General features: G+C 40.6%; 1 protein-coding gene across 3 annotated transcripts in view; it reads left to right on the top strand.

Moving 5' to 3' along the window:
- Positions 1–18,722, top strand: part of CPA6 (carboxypeptidase A6) — a 324,323-nt gene that overhangs the window by 69,483 nt on the left and 236,118 nt on the right. The window contains exon 2 of one of the 3 annotated variants that reach the window (XM_017013646.2): positions 7,516–7,602. The exons of the other annotated variants lie outside the window; for them this stretch is intronic. The gene's annotated coding sequence lies outside the window, so the exon portion shown is untranslated. The remainder of the gene's footprint in view (positions 1–7,515; positions 7,603–18,722) is intronic. 3 annotated transcript variants of the gene reach the window in all.

The following is an 18,722-nucleotide window of genomic DNA, read 5'->3' as shown; positions in this document are numbered from 1 at the left end:
TTGCGGATATTATATCCATATTAAATAGTTATAAGTAAAGACTTCAGCATTTAAAGGCTTTTATACTGGATACATTTTAAACAGCAGTGCACTTTTATAAATGAATGGGGGTTATAATATACTATAACTTTTCAATTAACATAAACTTCTTCCTTTTACTATTTCTGGTGGTAAAGTTCAGTCCTCTGAAGGAATGTCCACTAGGCATGTAAAAGCCTGTCTAGAGAAAGAAAAGAAAATGAACCTATTACAGTTGGTGCCAGTTATTTCTGTGCAATTAATCTATAAAAGTTTTATAGTGCAGCTGAGTGTCCAAGTTGAAAGCTAAATGGCAATGCAGTAACCCTCTTCCCAAAACAGAGTGGTCTGACACAAGCTACGCCTTTTGAAGTTACTGCAGAGTTACTATCATCAGCTTAAAACATAAAATAATATCTGACATGTCCAAACAGTCACAGGGAGTAATTAAAACTAAGGGGATTTAAAGAAGATGAAGACTTGCCTGAGCTTGGTACTTTAGTAAATGAGATCTGATTTCTTTTAAGCCCTATTTGAACGTGGGTTAAACCTTACAAATGCAGGCTCTGTTGGATGCCACTTGGTGGGAAGTGAATGCGAAGCTGCCTCTCCATATTTATAAATTGTCCCAAAGATCCTTATCTGTGCAGATAAAATAATAAATCTTCTTCCATCTCCCTGCCAATACTTCCTTAACCCCGCTAAAAAGCAAAAGACCAAGAAAATACTGATCTAGTGATACCATTGATATAGGTATAGTGTGTCACATCCTAACTAAAGTACTGTAATTTAGGAATGTGACTGTTAGCAGAAAAATAAGATTTTGCTGATTTAAAAACGTACAGGTTGGTCATGGTAGCGTACATCTGTAATCCCAGCTACATGGGAGGCTGAGACTAGAGGATGGCTTTAGTCCAAGGTTTGGGGCTGTAGTGCACTATGATCACACCTGTGAATAGTCACAGCACTCCAGCCTGTGCTGGGCAATGTAGTGAGACTCCATCTCTTAAAAAATGTGCAGAAAGACCATGAGCTCCTCATTATCCTCCAAAGGAGTAAATGTGTTTTGGATCAACAGTGCCCTGCAGCATGAGGCCTTTGAGTAGATAATGCACAGGCAGTGCGATTTGAGGGCTTGCAAAAAGCCCCCTCCACAGTCCACAAATGACTCTCACATCAAATCAGACTGGCCTTTCGTTGTGATAATGTCATTCCAGTGGGTTGAGGCAGTACCCTGTTTTAAAAGGCAAATGCCTAGGAGAAGGGTCCCATGGAAATGCTGAGTGCCTCGGGCAATAGGGGCCTCTCTACTCAAAATTAGTGGGTCACTGAGTCAGTTTTGATGGGCAAGGGGAGGGGTGGAAGGACAAGGTACCAGAGTGGTAAGAAATGAATTAGAAAAATTCAGCTAGGACATAAATTGTGGGGGATTGTGGGATGAGTAAAAAGGGCGTAAAACCACCTCAAGCAGGTGCAGATCCACCAGCACATCTTCCAGAGTTACAGGCAGGCAGCCCCTCGATTGTGAAGACAGGAGGAGAGTCACAGCAGCAATGCCAAGAGCAACCAGCCCAGCGTTGGGAGAGGTCTATGTCTGGTGGGGAAAGGTGCCGAGAGCCAGTACTGCTATGGTTGTATCTTTGTTTAGGAGATTTTTTTAGAATTTCAACTCTTTATTTAAGATACAGGGAGTACCTGTGCAGGTTTGTTACATGAGATGAGTATATTGCATGATGCTGAAGTTTGAAGTTTGGGGTATGGATCCTATCACCCAGGTAGTGAGCATGGTACCTAATAGATACAGGTAATTTTTCAACCCATGCCCCTGCTCCCTCCCTCTAGTAATCTGCAGTGTCTGTTCTTCCCATGTTTATATTCATGTGTACCCAGTGTTTAGCTCCTACTTATAAGTGAGAACACGTGGTATTTGGTTTTCTGTTCTGGTGTAAATTCACTTAGAATTATGGCCTCCAGCTCCATCCATGTTGCTGCAAAAGACATGCTTTTGGTTTTTTTCATGGCTGTGTAGTATTCCGTGGTGTATATGTACCACATTTTCTTTATCTAATCCATCATTGATGGACACCTAGCTTGATTCCATGTCTTTGCCATTGTAAATTGCATTGCGACAAACATATGAGTGCATGTGTCTTTTTGGCATAATGATCTATTTTCCTTTAGGTATATGCCCAGTAATGAAATTTCTGGGTCGAAGGATAGCTCTGTTTTGAGTTCTTCCAGAAATCTCCAAGCTGCTTTCCACAGTGACTTTACTAACTTACATTCCCACCAACAGTGTATAAATGTTCCCTTTTCTCTACAGCCTCGCCAGCATCTGTTGTTTGGGAAATTTAATTTTTCAGTAAATCCACAAAAAGAATCAGTCATACAGTTTCTATTCCTATTCAGAAGACTTTAGGTAGTCATATTCCTGCTATGGATATGAAGCTGGACAAGAGTAGTTTTTCAGTTGTGGTCCTTTGACAAATAACCAGCTTGCCTTGTTACAGCTAAGGGGCTTTAGCATTAAAGCAATCTTGGAGTCGTAACATAACTTTGCACCCAAGGCAGGCATTTTATCTACATCATTCCTCACAAATGCTCAGGTAGTCTCTGCAGTACAGCCTGACTCCTAAGCCTGAGCCCTGAAATCAGACTTCAGTTCAAATCCTGGCTCTGCCACTCACTAGCTATATGACGTTAGGCTTACCCTCTCTGTCATGTCATGACAACTGTAGAATGGAGAGAATAATTCCAGCTATTTCACAACTGTAGAATGGAGAGAATAGTTCCAGCATCATAGGATTGTTCTATGATGGTAACACGGTACATATAAAATGACACAGAATATGGCATATAGTAAATGTTCAATAAATGGTAGCTATGATTGTCATCAACTCAAACAGCCTCCCTTCATTCACCTTTACCTCATAAAGCAACTCTTTCTAGAATGTTCTATATATAACAATTGTATTAAAGGCTTCTTGAAGGAGAAGCCATTTGTTTGTGTCTTTGTTCAACACCAGGCTCCTGATGCTTTCAGTAGTGTCTGGCGCACAGCAGGCATTTAAAAAATATTTGTTAAATGAATTTTATAGAATTAAGTCTATCACACTCTTTTGAGTACTAAAATGCTATTATAGTCTGTGGATAAAAATAATAAAACAAGGCCAGGCGCAGTGGCTCACACCTGTAATCCCAGCACTTTGGGAGGCCGAGGTGGGTGGATCATGAGGTCAGGAGATTGAGACCATCCTGGCTAACACGGTGAAACCCCGTCTCTACTAAAAATACAAAAAAAAAAAAAAATTAGCCGTGAGTGGTGGCGGGCACCTGTAGTCCCAGCTACTCAGGAGGCTGAGGCAGGAGAACGGCATGAACCCGGGAGGCGGAGCTTGCAATGAGCCCAGATCGCGCCACTGCACTCCAGCCTGGGTGACAGAGCGAGATTCAGTCTCAAAAAAAAAAAAATAAATAAATAATAATAATAATAATAATAATAATAAATTGAAAGAGATTATAAAATAAAAATCATGCAACACTGAACATTGAAATCCAAATCCAAATTTAAAATCATTGTATATCATAGTATCCAATGTGAATATCCCTATTTTGCCCCTTCAGGATGTAGTTTGAATGAATGCCGCCAAATACAGTCAGAGAAGAGAGGTGAATGTAAGAAAAACAAGATCCAAAGAATTTAGACCTAGCGTGGGATCTCTGTCTCTTTCATTGAGCAAGGAGGTTTTGTCTCCTTTGTTCTTTTCCACAGTTCATCTTTGTATATTTCTCTCTGGGCTACATTTGATTAGCTGCCCAGTGTACCAGTCCTTTCAAATCATACGTAGTTGCATTGTTTCTTACAGTAGAATTTGCTATTGCCCCCAAGTTTCTATCATCCGTAAGTTTTGAAACTCACTTGGCTACATAAAAAACTGATTTAAAAAAAAAGTTAGTGAAATAATACCTTCCTCTGTAATGCCTGCATCATCCTAGAAGCTTAAAGCTAATGAGGCAGTTAGGGCTTATTTGTTCAAGGAAGACTCTGATTTGGCATTTCATCCATTTTAAAAGCAAAACATCATTTTGTGGGACTTAGAATAAAACATCTTGATTGTGTTCCAAGCAGGACTTTAGACCGGTTTGATGCCTAGGTTAATGGCATTTCAATTATACTGTTTTCAAAATGAAATATAAATTGTTCCGGGTTTTTGTCCCTGTGTGTTCATATTGGGCCCGAGCTCTATGAGAAACCTCCTCCCAAGTATTCTGGAAGACCCTAGGGTGCTGGAGAGACATGGTTGGATTTGACTTGACATGGGAGGGTGGAGTAAAAGGACTCGATGATGGATTGGCTGAGTGATGAGGAGAAGGACAGGAGGACTTGTAGGTTACTGGCTTGAGGAGTGGGATAGATAGTGGTGCCTTTTAGTGAAACAAGGGGAAAAAATGGGAAGAGGAACTGACTTGGGTTGCACAGGAATATAATGGCAATCTATCTAAAAGTTTGTACGCATTGGAAGAAAATTTTACACACGGAGTGGAATGAAAATGAGTTCAAAGACAAAACTATGATATAAAATGTTCCAGTTATATTTAGACTCCTTTGGATACATTGAAAATTGTGATGTATTTTTAAATGTTAATATTTACAATATACTGAAATACTTTGTTCATGCCATTAAACTGATAATGAAAAATATTAGAGCCAACTTAAAAATGCATGAGAAGGCCGGGTGCGGTGGCTCACACCTGTAATCCCAGCACTTTGGGAGGCTGAGACAGGTGGATCACATGAGGTCAGGAGTTCAAGACCAGCCTGGCCAATATGGTGAAACCCTGTCTCTACTAAAAATACAAAAATTAGCTGGCTGTGGTGGTGCGCACCTGTAATTCCAGCTACTCAGGAGGCTGAGGCAGGAGAATTGTTGAACCTGGGAGACAGAGGTTGCAGTGAGCCAAGATTGCACCACTGCACTCCAGCCTGCACAATAGAGTGAAATCCCTTCTAAAAAACATAAAATACAATAAAATTTAATTTAAAAAATAAAATAATGCTGGTTCTCCAAAGTTATTTTGGGAGTACATAAGCAAAAGTGTTTGCAGATCACTGCAAAAGAAAACTTAGGAAACATCCTAGCCTGCACAAAGGAGTTCTAATGTCAAATGTTTTCTTAGCAATAGGGAAATAAAAGCATTTTTCAGAAGCCTTCTGCTTCTGAAGCAAACTATGCATTAGTGTGTTTCAGATTCGAGGAAAGCAAGCCCTTTAGTCAAGTAGCAGAGCTGGGCACACAGGTATAGACAGTATAAGGCCAGAATCATATAGAAGCAGTATTTTATCTTGTTTCATGTATTTTTATAGCTTAGGTATCTCAGCCTGATTCTTAACTATTTCCATTAGCATCACCAATGAACCCTACTGAACACTACAGCAAGGTGATCCTGCTGAACAGGAGCTTGGTGAAGAGCCACTCCTGCTGAGTGGGCTGCAGTGGGGATGGGGGAGGAGTACAATGATAGGAAATAAAAGGATGGCAAAGCCTAGGATAGGGGAGGTGGTACCACAGCTGCAGACAACTGAAAGACAAATGTGGCAGCAGATTTTAATTTCAGCAAATATTTAATGAGCCCCTAATCTGAGATAGACACCATTGTGGGGTATCAGCAAGATTGAGGTGATTGTTCTCAAGGCTGACGACGTGACAGAGCATTTTTTAAAACAGCCCTGGGCTCCCTGTCAACTGCAGTCAACCAGCCAGAATAAGAATTCACATCAGTGGATAGAAAAATACTATTTTCCATCACCAAATGAAACTGAAGATACCTCCAGATCTATCATCTTGAATTGTCCAGAGGACAAAGATGGTAGAACATATGTGAGTTTATGTGTTTGTGTCTACAGATGAATTATTAACACTCAGAATCATGACAATGATGCAGAGGAAATGTATATACTAAAATTGGTATTTGATGTTTCATTTCTGGTATCCCCTAGTGGATTTTCTTGCAACTTCCCCTTCCTTTATTTCTGTGTCCTCTGGATTACCTTCCAGCCCGCAAAGCATTTCACATAACTGGAAGAAAATGCTGGGTAAAGACATGTACTTGATGTTGATTTGCGTCTTTGTACACACCACTGCTAGTAGGCCCGACTGTTAATAGATACTATAATTTTTACTGGTTTTCTTAGTAATTGTGACAAACTGTTTTTTCTTTATTCCCTCGGACTATCCCTATTGAGCTCCCAGGTCCTAGAAAACACTGGATATGAGGACAGTAAGGTTTGCCTACACCATTAATAAATGGCTTATCAGTGATATAATCTGTAAATAACCTTCACTTTAAGAGTATTACCTAACCATGCTGCTATGGTTTGGATCTGTGTCCCCGTCCAAATCTCATGGCAAATTGTAAGCCCCCCAGAGTTAGAGGTGATTGGATCACTGAGGCGGATTTTTCCCTCAGTGCTGCTCTCGTGATAGTAAGTGCTCACGAGATCTGGTTGTTTAAAAGTGGGTGGCACCTTCCCCCTGCCGCCTCCTGCTCTGGCCAGGTAAGACCTGCCTGCTTCCCCCTCACCTTCCTCCATGATGGAAAGTATCCTGAGGCCTCCCCAGAAGCCATTATGTTTCCTGTACAGCCTGCGGAACCATGAGCCAATTAAACCTCTTTTCTTTATAAATTACACAGTCTCACGTATTTCTTTATAGCAGTGTGACAATGGACAAATACGTGTGCTAATAGGCATGTATTCTACATCTTAGATGGGTAATTGGAGAGATTCTTTACACCTCTCAAAGGAGTGCTATTCTATATAGACTAGTTTTCCAGAAAGTGAAAACAATATAAATACTTTAATTTTAACTTATTGTAGTAGGAAATCACCCTAAATGTAATTACATTCTAACTGAACACAAGGCTGATATTTAACCTTTTGTGACCTAGAGTGATTATAATCATCATCAGTTGTTATTTACAGATACTGAAGTGCTGGGTCCTCTTGATTTTTCCATGTCCCGTGGCTCCCAGATGCTCTGTTTTTTGGGGTTGTTTTTTTTTTTGTCTTTAGATAATTTTTCATATTTCCTTTTGCTCTTAGTTACATGACACATAAGAAGCATCAAACGTCTGTGGTGAACTCTTTACTCCCTTCTGAAGATCTGCCCTTCTAAGTTACTGTAACACAGTGATAGGAAAGTATAGACCTTCATCAGGAAGGGAAGGGGAAAGGTGAGGAAGTTGTTACCTAAGAAACTAGATTACAATACTAATTAATAGAATGATTTCTGAATTAAACATAAATAAATTCCCAAAGAATTCTGTTACTTCAGCTTAAATTCTGTAGCATTGCTCTTGGCAACCTGGAAATGCTTTTGTTTACCTCTTGCTGGTGGGATGGGTTATAGAAAGACTCCCCGTCTGTGGGTGAGCATGTATAATTTGATCAAATCAACCATCAAACCACTTTTAAAACTCACCTCTTACTCTCTTCAGTCCACAGGGAAAGAAACTTTTGAAATAATAATCAGTTGCCTGGTATACTGCTCAATGATATTGCCACACGTAAGAACAAGCATACAGGTAAGGGACTAGTTACAGTCTCTGGTAATAAAAGCACTCACTTAAGACTGTTGCCATGAGTAGTCAGTTTGAGATTAGCACTGGAGCAAATCAAATGGTAACTCACAGTTATCTTTCCTATGTAATTTTGACAATAGATCTTTGTCTGCCATGAAAGAAACACTAATTGATAATGGTACTGGATTTCTAGGATCTGTCCCAGTCCATCCTTTCATTGACCCGCGAGTGATTCTTCCTACATGCAAGCTGACTATGGATCCTGCCTTACTCAACATTCTCCCATGACTTCCCTCACCTGCAGCTGCCCCTTTCTTTAGCTACCTGCAGGCGAGCATCCACCTCTCATTCAAGCCTTAGCTCAAACTCTGCCTCTTTTAAGAAACTTCCTCCCAGGAAGATTTGGGTGTTCTTCTCTCCTTTGCTGTCATGGTACTCCATGTACATTTGTAATATAGTTGTGAATTTGAACGTCAGTTTCCTCTCTTCATTATGTGCTTCTTGATAGAGGCTTTCATTTTTGCATACCTAATACATAGTATAATGCTGGGGGCCCAGAAGGCATTTAAAAATGCTTTTTAATGGCTGAATATCCAGATTTTTTTATCATTAAAACTCCAGATGAAACTCTGAAACAAATCAATCCATCACCAACCAACAGGTATCCTTTGTTCCTACCGGAGCACATTTTTTGTGGGGTATGTGCTATATATCATTGAGATATATTAATTTTGAAATAAGTAACTGGAGAGCAGCTATTAAACTATGAAGAAAGAGCTGGCTCTGCCTTTATAAATAATTCTAACTATCATAACTTGGAAAAGTTGCTTAACTCATTCTAACTGAAGTAACTATTTCACACTAGCAAAGCAGTAGAGAACTGCCTGTGTGTGTAACTAACGGACAACAGATGAGCAACAGTGATGTAGAAGCTTTTATTGAGTGCGAATATATTTTTATTCTGACTATATGAACTGTTGAAGTGGGTATAGAAAATATAGATTTTTAATTCATTGGAAGCTATCAAAGTTACTTTGATAAAGTATATTTTACCAGTTTATTGCAACAAAAACAATTTTCTAGCCATAAAAGGAATAATTTTAAATTTCATAATTTGGAGGCAAAGCATGTTGAGCAAAGCCTTTTTAACCAGATTGATGATGTCTTCTTGTGCATATGCACATAAAGTCTTCTGTTCAAACAGGACACTTTTAGTAATAAGTGAATATGGCTCTTTTTTAAAACCCATGTGTGTGACCAGCACCAGCCCAAGTCAAATATTGACGAGCCTCCTGTACACAGAATAGATGTGTGGCCGTGGCTACTGCTGGCTAGACATGTTGGCATTTGAGAAGCTCGCTTTTGCCCAGCAGCCTGGAAGGCTAGAAGCATCCTTGTTCATCTTTCTGTCCCTGGTGCCCTGCACCCCTTGAGCTCTTCCTAAGGGTGAGCAGCCCAGTCTTGGCAGCCACTGGGGCGGGGCACACAGTAATCTCCTATTCTATACTGTGCCACATCCATTAAAGCTAAGACATATCTTGTATTCAGTTGAGATTAAACTGATTTCAGATTCTCATACTGAAAGAAATCAGGTGGAAAGTCAGTGGGTTAGAAATTGAATTTCAGTTTCACTCCTAACTCTGAGGTCCCCCCTCAGATGTCACCTAACCTTGCCGATCCTCCCTTTAAATCTGCAAAATCAGAGGAAATGAGAAGATTGGACCCAAAGTCCTCTAAGCTTTAAAATTAACAGCTTTAATTTTTTTTTTCTCTAACTTTTAGCGGGGAAGTTGAAAAAAGATTTGGATGATGTTGGCATGGGGGTCTTTCCTGTAGGCTGAGAGTTAGGACATCCAGGCCCTGGTTTTGGCTCTGATATTAGTTCTGTGGCACTGGCCTGCTCAGCCTGCTCTTGGGGAAACCTGGGGGCTAAAGGGCTAAACTGGTGATCTCTGAGGTCCTTTTCAGATCTAAGAGGCAAAGACCCAGTCAGCAAGCGGCCTGTGGCATCGTTAAACATAAAGCCTTCACCCCAATCCGAAATGACATCGGGCTCCATCAACCTTTTCTTGACATGCTGAACCAATGATTTCTTTCTCAAAGGTCATCAAAGCAGCAATGGGAGTCCACCAGCAAGTTTCAATGTTTTAAAATACCTGAGTCTGTGTAGATGCCAGATGATAGGTTTTTTGGTTCCAGGTAATTAAAGAAACATTTATTGAACATCTGTGGGCCAGGTTCTACCCAACACTGCAGACAGTAATAACCACATGCCTATATGATTTAAGGAGTCCTAAAGGAAAAGGAATGCAGATATGTAAACCTTGTGCATAGCAGGTTTTTCCCCAGGCTTGCGATTCTGGACATAGCAATAACTAATATTTCTCAGGCCTAAGGCCCACCCGGTGAAATGCTTAGGGGGCACTCAAGAATGATCGAGAGTGTCAACCATTCTTGTCAACCCATAGATTCCCCCATCCTGTCACCCGGTTTTGGCCCTTCCCTTTCCCCCAATGCCCCAGAGAAGAGAGCTGCATTCTTCAGTGAGGGACATCGTGTCATGAGCCTATATCACAGTCACACCCCCAAGCAGCCCCTGTTCCCATCAGTGCTGCACGGAGACCCTGATCGCCAGGCACCTTGCCTGGAGCTTTCCTGAGAATCCTTCCAAGACCTCCCTGTCACTGGGCTGCTATTCCACATGCTTCCTCCTTCCTGTTCCCATTAGCAAAGAGGAGCCAAGGGGAACTTTCTGTTTGGGTTCCAGGGCTGTAAGTTCCCAGACCATGTCTCCCTCCTGCCCAGCTTTACTGGCTGCTACCAGGGCCCTCCGCTGGTGAGAGTGCCCCCCTCCCCACCCCTCTCTCAGTGAATCCTTGATCCTGAGATCTCCTTGCACCTGTTTTCCCAAAAGGAATGGGTAGCACTGTACACTGGAGAGCTTGCTGCAAGTCTTCTGCCCACTTCTGTGATTCTATTTACCAGGCAAGGCCTCAGGTTACCATCAATTTTGCATCCTTTACATAAGTTCCCACAGCGGGGAAGAATAGTAAAATAGGTGTGGAAGTAGCACCAAGGAAGAAGGGAAAGGGGTCATCACCTGTGTCTCAGCAAGGAGGAGAACTCTTGAAGAGGTCATGTCTCTGCTCAGTTCTTTACAGGTGAGTGAAGTCTGCCATCCTACCAGAAGGAACAGTGGATCATGTTCATAAAACTCTTAAGTAGTTCCATAGTTCTGAAATGCAAATGATAAAACTGGAATAGCAAGAGATGAGCCTATAGAGATGGAAGAGAGGCGTGGACTCTAAGAGGACATGTATATTTTGTTAACTACCTATTGAAGGTTTAACATTTGTCAGGAACTGCACTAAACCTTTACCCTTAATTCATCTAATCTGCACCACAACCCAGTGTGATAGGCCCATTTTACAGATGAGGAAACTACCGACTAGAGAGGTTAAGTAGCTTGTCAGTGGAAGAACTAGAACTTATTATACCCCGAGCTTTTGGATTCCAAAGCTCATGCTCAAACTTTATTGCCTGCATGTTTGAGAATCATTGCCATAGCAAACAAATCATTGCTGTCCCATGGGAAGGTCTAGGACAAAGGAAATGGTACAATTAAAGCAAAGCCATAAAAAGAAAAATGCCATACATGTGGGAGTCTAGAAAGAAGCAAGAAGATGAGAAAAATTGACATAAAGTTGGACTGTATTCTTTAGCCATGATCAACTTGAAGAGGTTTTCTACTTATTTTTAAAGAATTTTCAGAATAGTTATGCCCCAACAGAGTGTTTCATCTTTTGTTTTCAGTTCTTGTACTTGGAGTTACTTACACTGACAGTTTCCTGAGAGATGTGCTACTGTGCCATTTTCCCATTCTGTTGGAGTCATACTACTCAATTTCAGCACTGAAAATTGAGGTCAGCAAATGGGAAATTACCACTTCATGAAGAAACTCGGTCACGCAAGGTCCTAAAGATCATTATTGCATATAGATGTACCTACTAAGGAACTCAGAAGACAAACGTAATGGAACAAAAGTTTAGCAGACTTTTAACCTGAATGTTTTTTGGATGTTGTTGGTGTTTTGTTTTGTTTTGTTTTTCCCGTGAAGAAATAGAAATCTTGTAGAGCAAAGCTACAAAACAGGCATTGATAGTCTACCTGGCCTTTAAAAGTGAAAACTTTGCCGATTTTTTTTTCCAGAAGCGTAAGCAGTTTTAACTTCAGAAGTAAGAAGAAAAGTTGCTTGGGATTTTCTGGGTTACTGTAACCATTGCTTTCTGCCTCGCCCTTTCCTAGGTAGTACCTAGGTAATTTTGATCTCTTTTGGTTTAGTGTATAAGTAAACTCTCTGAGTATAAGCTTCCTTTTCTATTGCTTAATACATTAAACTTGCCTTGTAATAACATGATACACGATTGCCCAAGTACAACCAGAGTAATAGTTTTTCCTAGTATCACAGCTTAATTCCTGGGTGAGACAGACCTATGCCCTTTGTGTCATGCTCTGCCCTTCTCCACTTGAACCCCATCCTACTCAAAGTGTACCTTTTCCATTGACTGGGAAATTTGAGGCCCTGAAATCCACACCCAAACAACCTCAAACTCACTTCTAGAGCCCACATGAGCCTTGCAGTCTTAGGCCCAAATGGTTAAAAGAAAAAGAAAAAAAAGGCAGGGGGCAGGAGATTTGAGGGGCTGTTTCTGGAGCTTGGATATACAAAGTGGGTTATTCATGAGCCAGGTGTGGGAGAAGGCAGCAGGTGCACAGTGGGCTAGAGGCCAGCCCTCTCTCTGTATTGCTACATTTGGGCACAGTACCCCATGGAATCCAAAAATTCTAAATTTGAACCTGGACTTCCAGGCTGTTAGGAAAGTATGCCTGTCAAAAGAATAGAACATTTTACCATCTTATTGCCTTTATTTGTAACTTTTATAATATTTACACATTTGGCATGAAAGTCTCCAATTACACTCTTGATCCAGCTCCTACAAATGTTAGGGGTAGATCTGGGTGACCCCTGACCCTGAACCATCGAATCAAAGTCTCTCACCTCGCAAGGTGGAATTTAAGAATGGCAGTCTTAGTTTCTGCTGGTCGCTTGAAGAGAAAATGTCTAAACTTAGGAGCTGAGTCCCATCATTTGTGAGACCACCACAATGAATGAATGTCTATAAACTTTAAGATGAGAACTTTAAAACTTTAAAATGAGAACCTTCATTTCTGTTCTGTCCAAGACTTAGTTGCTCAACTTTTCCTCAAATTCTCTAAGATGCCCCTGTATCCTTCCAATAAAGGCCCCCTCCTGCTTCACTATCTTGGAAGGGGTTTCCATTACTTACATCATGTAACCTATGTTTCCACCTAGATAGCAAGAATTAAGGAATTCATTGTTTAGTAGCACAAAACATTATGTTGGAGGCTTTCAATGTTGTCCATAAAATTTGTGCTTGCCTATTCACAATAGCAAAGATGTGGAATCAACCCAAATGCCCATCAATGATAGACTGGACAAAGAAAATGTGGTACATATACACCATGGAATCCTATGCAGCCGTAAAAAAGGAATGAGATCATGTCCTTTGCAAGAATATTGATGGAGCTGGAAGCCATTATCCCCAGCCAACTAACGCGGGAAGAGAAAACCAAACACCTCATGTTCTCATTTATAAGTGGGAGCTGACCAATGAGAACACATGGACACAGGGAAGGGAACAACATACAATGGGGCCTGTTGGGGAGTGGGGTGGGGGAGTGAGAGCATTAGGAAAAATAGCTAATGCATGTTGGGCTTAATACCTAGGTGATGAGTTGATAGGTGCAGCAAACCATCGTGGCACATGTTTAACTATGTAACAAACCTGCACATCCTGCACATGTACCCCAGAACTTAAAAATTAAAATAAAAAAAAGTTTGTGCTTGCTACCTCAAGCAGATCAAAGAGTCTAGTTGGGTGATTCTGATAACTGGCTAACAGGCTAAAAGAACTAACCAGGCTTAACCGAATCCATAGTACCTACACATTATAAATTTTAAAAGCTCTTTACTGGTTTTCAGTTGTTATTTCATCTCTGTTTTATATTTGCCTTGAGGTTTAGAGCTGTTTTTCTCTGAGTTAGTTAATGCAGTGCATACATTTAGTTTTTATTTTTCAAGTCCTGAATAGAGAACTCTTCATAGAAAGGGCAGGTAGTAGGTAGGGAATTGCCATGACGTCTTCTGGAGGGTTGTCAGGAAATGGGCTCTGTCACCAACAGTGGCCCGCAGCCTCACTTGCCTGTTTCTTAGAGAACAGACTTTGACTTTGGTGCACTTCTTCTTTTTCCTCTCATCTGTCTTCTCCTGCTTCCCCTCACCTCAGTGTGATTCAGCTCTAATTGAGGTTGTTAAGAAACCGCTTTGTTCAGAGGGTTAGTAGGGGAGAGGAGAGATCTGCCTCTGTATTCCTGACATCAAATAACTTTCCAAGGTGCTCCTGCAGCACATTGTATCCCTTTGATACACACATTAAAACAACACAATAATAAAGCGCTTTATCATAAAGACCAAATAAGCGATAAATCATTAATCGCAGGAGTAGTATTCCCTACTTTAGAATATATATGTGTATATATTCTATATATACATATACATGTGTGTATGTATTCTATATATACATATACGTGTGTATGTATTCTATATATACATATACATGTGTATGTATTCTATATATACATATACGTGTGTATGTATTCTATATATACATATACGTGTGTATGTATTATATACATATACATGTGTATGTATTCTATATATACATATACGTGTGTATGTATTCTATATATACATATACGTGTGTATGTATTCTATATATACATATACGTGTGTGTATATATGTAGTCTCATTTCTCATTTTCTAGAATAACATCACTCTTTATGACCTTGTTCCACAAAACTGGAAGAACAGGGCTGGTACTCAAGATGGAGACAGAATTGGGATGGACTGTCCTGGGAGACTGTAGGTTTCTTGTCACCTGATGCATTCTTTGTAAATTAACTTCTCCCTCCAAGAAGAAATAGAAGCCATCAGGAGATAACACTCTTACATGCTACTCTCTCTAACTCTAACCTTATATCCAATGCCATCCATCCTGAATGCCTTCCTTCTTTCCCCTGTTTTCAACTACCTGCCTCCCCCAGAACCTGCACCAAAATCATGGTCTTAGGAGGGGGTGGTGGTGAATGGATGAAGGAACATTCAAGATGGTGTTGCTGGGCTGAAGGAGTAGATTTTCAAAGAGCTTAGGTGTATCCATGCAATGGAATATGACTCAGCCTTAAAAAGGAAGGAAATTCTTACACATGCTACAACATGGATGAACCTTAAAGACATTATGCTACGTGAAGTAAACTAGACGCAGAAAGACAAAGATTATATGATTCCACTTACATGAGGTACCCAGAGTAGTCAAGTTCATAGAGACAGACAGTAGAATAGTGGTTGCCAGGGCCTGGGAAGAAGGGGAATGAGGAGTTATTGTTTATTCTCTCTATCCCTGCTTGCTCTGTTTAAGATTTCTCATTTCTCAAAAAGTTCTAGAACATATGCTGTGGAACTGACTTGACTCTTCTAGCTTTTACCCCCAATTCTCTTGCACTGTAATAAAGCAGTCTCTGAGTTGAGATGGCTTTACAGTGACCCACAGTTTGCATGGGATCCAAAGGACTCATTGGATACTTGAGCTTTGAGGGAACCTGCTGTGGGGCCAGCCCTGAAGGCAGGCTGCAGAAACTACAGGAGCAAGATGCTTCCTGCTGCCTGAGAAGGCTAGCCTTCCTGAAGTTCCTTTGTTCCACTCAGATCACACAGCGGCTTCCTCGGTCCCTTGGATTAAAGCCACAGTCCTTGCAACAGGCTTCCAGGCCTGCCTCCCTCCCGCCTCTGTACCACTCTACCACCCTACTCTACTCCAGCCACAATGGCCACTTCCTCAATCACCAGCTGCGTTCCCACGTCTTGGCCTCTGCATTTGCTCTTCTCCCTGCCTGAAACATTCCTCCCCCAGAGGTCCATGTGGCTTTCCTCTGATACCTTCTCAATTACACCTTCCTTGACCGCCATATCTAAAATTAGAAGACCTTCACCTGGCACTCTGTGTTCTCCTCCCCTGCTTTGTTCTTCATCATCTTTCACTCTGTATATTTTACTTATTGTGTGTGAGCATTTCCTTAGAACATTCAGTAAATACTTGAATAAATGACTAAAGGGATGAACTAGTACTTTGCTTTCCAGAAAGGCCATAAATCATATAGTTACACAAAAAGCTCTGTCCCTTTAGAATGACATTGTAAATGGAAGCCATATAGGTCAACAGTAATCCCAGAATTCTGTGACAACCAAGGGATGTTAATCCAGATTACTGGCAATAGTCCTAAGGCCAAAGTCACTAAACTTTCAAGTGAACTATAACAAAATAAACCTGTCCTTTCCAGAAAATTCACATCCTTTGGAAAACCGATGGAATCAATCACCACATCAACTGTAATTACTCAGTGATATGAATACCAAAGGCTGCTTGGCATTTTCCTTAGCAAACAGGATTAGGGGAAGGTGGAAAGCACCCTTACAATTCGTTAAAACTGTAATACAGGCCGGGCATAGAGGTTCGTTCCTGTAATCCTTCCTAGCCTTGTGGGAGCCTAAGGCAGGCACATCACTTGAGCCCAGGAGTTCAAGACCAGCCTGGGCAACACGGTGAAACCTCATCTCTACAAAAAAAAAAAAAAAAAAAAAAATGAGCCGGGCATGATGCCGTGTGCCTGCAGTCTCAGCTATTCAGGAGCCTGAGGTGGGAAGATCACTTGAGCCTGGGAGGTCAAGGCTGCAGTGAGCCAAGATTGAGACACTCTGCTCCAGCTTGGGTGACAGAGTGAGACTCTGTCTCAAAAAAAAAAAAAAAAAAAAAAAAACCTGCAATAATTAACTTTTACCATGTGCCAAATACTACATTGGTGGATAAGGTCATTTAATTCTCACCACCCTACTAGTAGATATAATAATCTCCAGAGAAACCTGGGGCACAAAAAATCTGCCCAAATTTATGCTGCCATAGTGAATCAGACTTAGGTTTTCTGAATCCAAAATCTAAAGCCTTTCCATTATGCTACACTGCCTCCCTTACATAATAAAATCAGACCACTTGGGATTTGCTTTTGCTGATTCTGAACTAGATTTGAAATTACATGCCTCTGTAACTGCTTTCTACCTAGATTATTAAAACACTGACTACAGCAATGAAACTTTTCCACGGTAGAGGGAAATAATATTTTAAAGGTTGCTATCTTATCCAATTCATTTTTTGAAAATCATTTTGCCTTATCACTGGGTAAAATCTCTAAGCAATAAAAGAAATGCAATGAAGGGAATAGGCAACGTTTTATAAAATGTGCTTTGCATCTTGATAACAACATGTGATTTATTTATTACTTATGATAAATGTGAAAATATATTGCATTGGTGGAATTTGTGAATAGGACACTTTGGGGAATGTAAAGTTTTGCTTCAAGCATTCAGCTGATTGACTACCTTGTTGAAATGTAGAGTAGGACCTCAGGGCAGTTTTGCAAATGTGATTAGTTTTGTGGTTATTAAAGCATAGATTTGCCTTTCTCCAACATATAATATATTTTCAATAATAATCCAAGCGCCAGGAGACTCTGAAAGAGATTGGAAGAAAGCAATAATATTTTATTGGTGTGCATCAGAGGAGAAAGACTTATCTATCTTAAAGCAGCCAATGTTATAATTAGTCTCATTTTTTTCCAAGATAAATTATATCCAAAATTACTCTAGCTAATTTTAACTCAAATAAATAGGTTGGTAAATTCCTTTCCCACTTTACGTGTAGTGCTGAGTTACGCATATATAGCATTGCCTTGTCTCTTAATTAGCAATTTCTGTAGTATGCATGATGACTGGAAGCCATGGTTTAATCAAGTGAATCTCAGCATCCACTGATGACTGGTGTAATCTGAATTTGAACTCTATTATGTATCTGCTTCCATTTGGAAGGGAGACTCCAGGCCCTTTATAGAGCGAAAAGAGGCCTGCCTATCTGGAGCATAAAGAGAGCAGTGGGAGGGGAACAAGAAACGCATGGAGAGGAAGGCAGGGCCAGCCAGCATAGGGCTTGCAGCCCATGCTAAGAATTTGAAAAGAGTTTTATATTTCATGAATGGAAACATACTGAAGAAATTTAATCAAAAGAGATAGGGTGCCATTTGTAATTTTTAAAAATACAATTTTCCTGCTTTGTGGAGAGTAGATTGAAAGGGGCAAGATGATATCAGAGAGACCAGGTAGGAAGCTGCTGTGTAGTCCAGACAAAAGAGAATGAGAGAGGAGCAGCAGAGGGGAGAGGAGGAAGAAAGACTCAAGTTCTGTGTGACAAGCAGAATGTCCTAGATTTGGTGATGGATGAGATGTTGGGTTGAAAAAGAAGGAACTTTCAAAGACAGGACCTCACTTTCTGGCTTAGGGGTCTGGATTTTTAGTAACAAAATGGAAAAGTGGGTTTGAGGGGAAGATTAACTTCATTGTTGGCCATTCTGTTTGAGATGTCTGGGAGACATCAGGAAGAGATGAGCAGTTAGACGTACAGTTGAATATGTGAGCAGGAACTAGGAAGAGAGGTTTGATGTGGAGATAAATGATGGGGTGTTATCAACATAAAGAGTGTTGAAGTAATGAGATTAGATTGAAACTCCCTAGGGAGAGAGTTGTGGCATAAAAAGAGAATGAGGCCCTGAGAAATGATGTTTAGAGGTGGGTACGGGGGAGGATCCACAGGGAAGCTGATTTTGTAAATTACATCTGTGCAGCTATTCGTTTAACAAATGTATATGACATACCTTATTATGTACCATTGAAGGTTCTGGGCACACCAAGGTGCACAAGAACTAACCCCTGACCTAAGAAAGTTTGTGCTGCAGCCAGGGAGACAGTCATAAAAAGAAAGCATTACAATCAGCACAATACATGTTGCAGCACTTATGATACACAAAGCAGTGGCAAACCTCAGATGGAGTTAGATAGGAAGAAAGATCAAGAAGCCTTTAAAAAAATTCTGTTAGGTGG

Source organism: Homo sapiens, chromosome 8, assembly GCF_000001405.40.
Source record: "Homo sapiens chromosome 8, GRCh38.p14 Primary Assembly".
NCBI classification, from domain to species: Eukaryota; Metazoa; Chordata; class Mammalia; order Primates; family Hominidae; genus Homo; species Homo sapiens.
The sequence above is the reverse complement of the archived record's forward strand: the minus strand, read 5'-3'. Positions and strand labels throughout refer to the sequence as shown.